The following is an 8303-nucleotide window of genomic DNA, read 5'->3' on the forward strand; positions in this document are numbered from 1 at the left end:
TTTCAAAAGGAATGCTTCCAGCTTTTACCCATTCAGTATGATATTGGCTACAGGGTTGTCATAAACAGCTCTTATTATTTTGAGATATGTTCCATCAATACCTAGTTTATTGAGAGGTTTTAACATGAAAGGATGTTGAATTTTATTGAAGGCCTTTTCTGCATTTATTGAGATAAACATGTGGTTTTTGTCATTGGTTCTGTTTATGTGATGGATTACGTTTATTGATTTGCGTATGTTGAGCCAGCCTTGCATCCCAGGGATGAAGCAGACTTGAATGTGGTGGATAAGCTTTTTGATTTGCTGCTGCGTTCAGTTTGCCAGTATTTTATTGAGGATTTTCGCATCAATGTTTATCAGGATTATTGGCCTGAAGTTTTATTTTTTGTTGTGTCTCTGCCAGGTTTTGGTACCAGGATGATGTTGGCATCATAAAATGAGTTAGGGAGGAGTCCCTCTTTTTCAATTGTTTGGAATAGTTTCAGAAGGAATGGTGCCAGCTCCTCTTTCTGGTAGAATTTGGCTGTGAATCCTTCTGGTCCTGGGCTTTTTTTTTTGGTTGGTATACTATTAATTATTGCCTCAATTTTAGAACTTGTTCTTGGTCTATTCAGGGATTCAACTTCTTCCTGGTTTAGTCTTGGGAGGGTGTACATGTCCAGGAATTTATCCATTTCTTCTAGATTTTCTAGTTTATTTGTGTAGAGGTGTTTATAGTATTCTCTGATGGTAGTTTATATTTCTGTGGGATCAGTGGTGATATCCCCTTTATCATTTTTTATTGTGTGTATTTGATTCTTCTCTCTTTTCTTATTAGTCTAGCTAGTGGTCTATTTTGTTGATTTTTTCAAAAAACCAGCTGCAGGATTTGTTGATTTTTTGAAGGGTTTTTCTTGTCTCTATATCCTTCAGTTCTGCTCTGATCTTCGTTATTTCTTGTCTTCTGCTAGCTTTTGAATTTGTTTCCTCTTGCTTCTCTAGTTCTTTTAATTGCGATGTTAGATTGTCAATTTGAGATCTTTCCTGTCTTCTGTTGTGGGCATTTAGTGCTATAAACTTCCCTTTTAACACTGCTTTAGCTGTGTCCCAGAGATTCTGGTACATTGTCTCTTTGTTCTCACTGGTTTCAAAGAACTTCTTGATTTCTGCCTTAATTTCATTATTTTTCCAGTAGTCATTCAGGAGCAGGTTTTTCAATTTCCAGTAGTTGTGTGGTTTTGAGTGAGTTTCTTAATCTTGAGCTCTAATTTGATTGCACTGTGATCTGCGAGACTGTTTGTTACAATTTCTGTTCTTTTGCATTTACTGAGGAGTGTTTTACTTCCAATTACGTGGTCAATTTTTGAATAAGTGCCATGTAGCACTGAGAAGAATGTATGTTCTGTTGATTTGGGGTGGAGAGTTCTGTAGATATCTATCAGGTCCACTTGATCCAGAGCTGAGTTCAAGTCCTGAATATCCTTCTTAATTTTCTGTCTCATTGGTCTGTCTAATATTAACAGTGAGATGTTAAAGTCTCCCACTATTATTGTGTGGGAGTCTAAGTCTCTTTGTACATCTCCAAGAATCACACATATGCATAAAAGTTTCTAAATTACTCTACTGGTCTGCATTGCTGCCACTTCAATCATTTTTGTCATCTGCTAGCACTCTTAGCAACCAGTGTGAAAAAAATTTATACATGCAATTATAAGATTGAAAAATGTCCATGTATTAGCCTAACATTTCCTCCCTGTGAGTTGAGAAAAAAAGCACCAGTATTAGAGTTTAGTTGAAAATCCTTCAATTGGTCTTGTTGTGGGGGCGGGGGTGGGATAAGCCCTGGAATGTAAAGCAAACAAGCCATTGAATAGGAAGACATAGGGGCTCTGCCCAGCACAATGAAAACATCTTTAAACATGCCTAATAGTTTAATTAACATATCAAACCTTTCTTTAAAAGGTTTATTGGGGAGAGCCCAAGATAGCTGAACAGAAACAGCTCCAGTCTGCCGCTCCCAGTGAGACCAATGCAGAAGGCAGGTGATTTCTGCATTTCCAACTAAGTTACTCAGTTCATCTCATTGGGACTGGTTAGGCAGTGGGTGCAACCCATGGAGAGTGAGCAGAAGCAGGGTGGGGCATCCTTTCATCCAGGAAATGCAAAGAGCTGGGGGACTTCCCTCCCCCAGCCAAGGGAAGTAGTGAGAGACTGTGCTATCTGCCCCAGGTACTATGCTTTTCCCATGGATTTTTGCAATCTGCAGATCAGGAGATTCTCTCATGAGCCTGTACCACCAGGGCCCTGGGTTTCAAGCACAAAACTAGGGTGGCTGTTTGGGCAGGAGAAGAAGAGACATTCTGTTTTTTTTTTATTTTCAGCATTTTTGCACTGTTTTTCCCTCATCTTCATAGATTTATGTACCTTTTATCTTTGAGGCTGATGACCTTTGGATGGGGTTTTTGTGTGGGGGTCTTTTTTGTTGTGGTTGTTGTTGTTGCTTTCTGTCTGTTAGTTTTTTTTTTTTTTGACCCTCAGGCCCCCTCTTCTGCAGGTCGTTGTATATTGCATACCTATGCCATATTCAGTTTGTATAAAATTGCTCCTACTTTCCAAGATTGAGTTAAATATGTCAGGATTTCATAGTGTTTCTCAAAGGGTACTGAATCCCAGATGCTTCTATCTGAACAAGATTGACAATCTCCCCTCATAAAGAAACAAACTAAAATTTACTGAGAGCATACTTCGTCCTATTCTTTAAAAACGTTTTTTTTTTAGAAATTTTGAATTCTGTAGTACATTTTATAAATGTGAAAACTGAGGATTTCGGAGAGTAAGTGACCTGCTTTAATTCACACAGAAGTAAGAAATAGAGAATCCAGTGTGAAAATGCATATAGATATGAAGCTATATTAAATTAGCAGTTACTCTGTGAGGCTGGCTTGTAGACACCAGTAAAATGCCATAGTCATACACTCAGTACTCCTCTTTTAAACATAATATTTCAGAAATAAAAAAGGAAAAGAATATAATTAACAGTTGTGTACCAACTACCTAGATTAAGAAAAAAAAGTACAAAACAATAAAAAGCTTTTATGTCCCTTCTCACATTTCCCCGACTCCAGAATTTGGGTTTATCATTTCTATGAATGTTTTTTAATTGGAACTATATTAAGTTCTTAGGTTTATTTTGGGACAATTAACATTAATAATCATTGAATCTTCCTCTCCATAAACATTTCTCACAATTTCTTTGGTTTTTCTTTAAAGTAATGTGATAACAGTTTGTAATTTCCCCCCATAAAAGTTGTATACATCTTTTGTTAGATCCATTACTTTGTATCTTTTAAAATTCTGCTGAAAATGGCACCTTTTAAAAGTTACATCTTCTAGAACTAGAGAAGCAAGAGCAAACAAACCCCAAAGCTAGCAGAAGACAATAAATAATCAAAATCAGAGCTGAATTGAAGGAGACTGAGACACAACAAAAAACATTCAAAAGATCAACGAGGCCAGGAGATGCTTTCTTTAAAAAAATTAATAAGATAGTTGGTCTATTGGTTAAACTAATAAAGAAGAAAAGACAGAAGATCCGAATAAACACAATTAGAAACGACAAAGGGGTTATTACCACTGACACCACAGAAATAAAAATAACTATCAGAAGGTATTATGAACACCTCTATGCACACAAACTAGAAAAATCTAGAAAAAATGGATAAATTCCCAAACAAATACATCCCACCAAGACTGAACCAGGAAGAAATTGAACTCCTGAACATACCAATAATGAGCTCCAAAATGGAATCAGTAATAGCCTACCAAAAAAAAAAAAAAAAAAAAAAGCCCTAGACCAGAGGGATTCACAGCCAAATTCTATCAGATTTACAAAGAAGAGCTGGTACCATTCCTACTGAAACTATTCTAAAAAAATGAGGAGGAGGGACTCCTCTACAGCTCCTTCTATGAGGCCAGCATCATCCTGATACCAAAACCTGGCAGAGACACAATAAGAAAAGAAAGCTTCAGGCCAACTCCTTGAAGAACATTAATGCAAAAATCCTCAACAAAACACTAGCAAACCAAATACAGCAGCATATTAGAAAGCTAATCCACCAAGATTAAGTAGGCTTTATCCCCAGCTTGCAAGCTTGGTTCAACATATGCGAATCAATAAATGTGATTCATCATATGAACAGAACTAAAGACAAAAGCCACATAATAATATCAATAGATGCAGAAAAGGCTTTTGATAAAATTCAACAACCTGTTCATTTGAAAAACTCTCAATAAACTAGGTGTAGAAGAAACATACCTCAAAATAATGAGAATCATCTATGACAAACCCACAACCAAAATTATACCATATGGGCAAAAGCTGGAAGCATTTCCCTTGAAAACTGGCACAAGACAAGAATGCCCTCTCTCACTGCTCCTATTCAACATAGTATTGTAAGTCCTGGACAGAGAAATCAGGCAAGAGAAAGAAATAAAGGGCATCCAAATGGAAAGAGAGGAGGTCAAACTATCCCTGTTTGCAGATGATAGATTCTGTATCTAGAAAAACCCATAGTCTCACCCCAAATATCTTTAAGCTGATAAACAACTTCAGCAAAGTTTCAGGATACAAAATCAATATACAAAGATCACTAGCATTTCTATCCACCAAAAACAGCTACATTGAAAGCCAAATCAGGAACGCAATACCATTCACAATTGCCACAAAAAGAATAAAATATCAAGGAATACAGCTAACCAAGGAGCTGAAAGATCTCTACAATGGGAATTACAAAACAATGCTGAAATAAACCAGAGACAACACAAAGAAATGGAAAAATATTCCATACTCATGCATAGGAAGAATCAATATTGTTAAAATGGCCATACTGCCCAAAGCAACACAGATTTAGGGCTATTCCTATCAAACTACCAGTGAACTTCTTCATAGAACTATAAAAAACACTTTACAATTCATATGGAACCAAAACAGCCTGAATAGCCAAAACAATCCTAAGCAAAAAGAACAAGGCAGGAGGCATCGCCCTACCCAACTTCAAACTACACTACAGGGCTATAATAACCAAAAGAGCATCACACTGGTACAAAAGCAGACACATAGACCAATAGAACAGAATAGAGAGCACAGAAATAAGGTCTCACACCTATAACCATCTGATCTGTGACAAAGCTGGCATAAACAAGCAATGGGAAAAGGGCTCCCTATTCAATAAATGGTGCTGGGATAACTGACTAGTCATATGCAGAAGATGGAACCTGGAGCCCTTCCTTACACCACATGCAAAAATCAACTCAAGATGGACTAAAGCCTTCAATGTAAAACCCAAAACTATAAAAACCCTAGAAGACGACCTAGGCAATACCATTCTGGACATAGGAACTGTCAAAGATTTCATGACAAAGATGCCAAAAGCAATTGCAACAAAAGCAAAAAGTGACAAATGGGATCTAATTAAACTAAAGAGCTTCTGCACAGCAACAGATAATATCAACTGAGTAAAAAGATATCATACAGAATGGGAGAAAATGTTTTAATATTTCAAAAAGTGGTACATGTACACCATGGAGTGTAAATTAGTTCAACTATTGTGGAAAGCACTGTGGCGATTCCTGAAAGAGCTAAAAACAGAACTAACTGGGATTGCTGGGTATATATCCAATGAAATATAAAACATTCTACTGTAAAGACACATGCACATATATGTTAATTGCAGCACTATTCACAATAGCAAAGATATGAAATCAACCTAAGTGCTCAACAATGGTAGACTAAATTTTAAAAAGTGGTACGTATACTCCATGGAATACTATGCAGACATAAAAAAGAACAATATCATGTCCTTCGCTGGAACATAGATGAAGCTAGAGGCCATTATCCTTAGCAAACAAACACAGGAACAGAAAACCAAAGACCACATGTTCTCACTTATAAGTGGGAGCTAAATGATGAGAACACATGGACACAAAGAGGGAAACAGCAGACATTGGGGCCTACCAGAGAGTGGAGTGTGGGAGGAGGGAGAGTGTCAGAAAAAATAACTATTGAGTACTAGACTTAGTACTTGGGTGACGAAATAATCTGTACATCAAACCCTAGTGACAGGAGGTTACTTATATAACAAACCTGCACATGTACCCCTGAATCTAAAATAGAAGCTTTAAAATAAATAAATAATAAACACATAAATAAAATAAAAAATAAAATTTACATTTTCTAAATATAATAGATTTTAATGTATATATCTTATTTTTAGTGAATTTGCTGAAACTTCTTACCAATCCTAGTAATATTTCTATAAGCATTTTCAGGTCTTCTGTGTAGGCAATTGTGTATTCTGTAAATGGTGGTAGTTTTATTTCTTACTTTTCCAATCTAATAAATTCTATTTTTTTTTTTTTAGTTCTTATCTTACCATGCTGGATAGAATCACCACAACAATGTTGAAATGAAGTAAAAATAGCAGTACATTTGTCTTAATCCTTATTTAAAAAATAAGGCTGCTAGATAATTGAATATGAATTTTAAGGTAAGATATGGCTCCTGGATTTATTTATAACTCAAAGTAGATACATAAATAGTAAAATGATTATATTTATTGGTTCAGATAAGCACCAGGAATTGCAGGACTATTTCATGTTAAAATTTGGGGGAAATTTTTAACAATAAGAGATTATAATCGGTTTTATATTTTACATGCAGCTATCATTTATAGGAAAACTAAAATGACTAAATAATACTTGGAAATAAACTAATATTCTAAAGGGAATGAGTAAATGTTTTCTGAAATCACAAAGGGCAGGCTAAAATTTGCCCTTTCAGTTTGAATTAGTGGAAAAGATTTGCATCACAAAAAACACAATTATTCTGAAATGATAGAGTACCACAAGTATAAACTTAGAGAAATAAATTAATGCATGTCATTATTAAAGTTTTTATGGACACAACTACAATTTCTCTAGTGTGAAAAAAACAAGGCTTCTAAATGACCTTATCGTATATATAGAAAACCCTCAGGACTCCCCCCCAAAAAATGTTAGAACTTACAAATAAATTTAGTAATGTTGCGGTATACAAAAACAATATGCAAAAATCAGTACCATTTTTACACACTAATAATAAACTTTCTGAAAAGAAAACAATACCATTTACAATAGCTACAAAAAATAAAATACTTATGAATAAATTTAACCAAGGATGTCAATGATCTGTACACTGAAAACTACAAAACATATACGAAAGAAACTGAAGACACAAATAAATGGAAAGACATCTTGTGTTCTTGAATTGGAAGAATTAGTATTGTTAAAATGTCCATACTACTCAAGGTGATACATAGATTCAATGACATTCCCATCAAAATTCCAACGACATTTTTCACATAAATAGAAAAAAAAATCCTAAAATTCATATGGAACACAAAAAACCGCTAATAGCCAAAACAATTGAGCAAAAAGAATAAACCTGGAGGCATTATACTACCTGATTTCAAAATATACTACAAAGCAATGAAAACAGCATGGTACTGGTGTAAAAACAAACACATAGGCCAATTAAGTGGAATAGAAATCCCAGAAGTAAATCCAGGCATTGATGATCAATTGATTTTTGACAAAGATGCCAAGAACACACAATGAGGAAAGGACAGTCTCTTCAATAAATAGTGTTGGAAACATTTGATATTCACATACAGAAGAATGAAATTGAACCCTTATCTCACTCCATACACAAAAATCAAGTCAAAATGGATGAAAAACTTAACCACAAAACCTGAAACTGTAAAACTCCAGGAAGACAACATAGGAAAAAGTTTCATGACATTGATCTAGGCAATGACTTTTTTTTAAATATGACCCCAAAGCACAAGTAACAAAAGCAAAGGAAGAGAAATGGGATTCCACCAAACTAAACAGCTCATGCACAGGAAAAGAAACAATCAACAGAGTTAAGAGATGACCTAAGGAATGAAAGAAAATATTTGCAAGTCATATGGAGTTTATAAGAGGTTAATATTCCATTAAGGAAACTGTGTGAAGGGTATTTGGGGTCTCTGTATATTATTTCTCAAAACTATTTTTTAGTTTAGGGGTTAATATTTAAAGCATGTAAGGTATTCAAACAACTCAATGGTAAAATAAATAACCTAATCAGATTAATCAAAAAATAGGCAAAAGGCCGGTCGCGGTGGCTCACGTCTGTAATCCCAGCACTTTGGGAGGCTGAGGTGGGTGGATCACGAGGCCAAGAGATCAAGACCATCCTGGCCAACATGGTGAAACCCTGTCTCTACTAAAAATACAAAAATTAG

General features: G+C 35.2%; 1 annotated feature.

The window, feature by feature from the left end:
• Nucleotides 1606-2240: an enhancer, noted in NCBI's record as "OCT4-NANOG hESC enhancer chrX:21064982-21065616 (GRCh37/hg19 assembly coordinates)". NCBI's record gives its function as "activates a minimal SCP1, AML or CMV promoter by ChIP-STARR-seq in naive H9 embryonic stem cells {active_cell/tissue: H9 hESC(naive)}" and the evidence as "EXISTENCE:reporter gene assay evidence [ECO:0000049][PMID:30033119]".

This window comes from Homo sapiens, chromosome X (genome assembly GCF_000001405.40).
Source record: "Homo sapiens chromosome X, GRCh38.p14 Primary Assembly".
Lineage (NCBI taxonomy): Eukaryota > Metazoa > Chordata > Mammalia > Primates > Hominidae > Homo > Homo sapiens.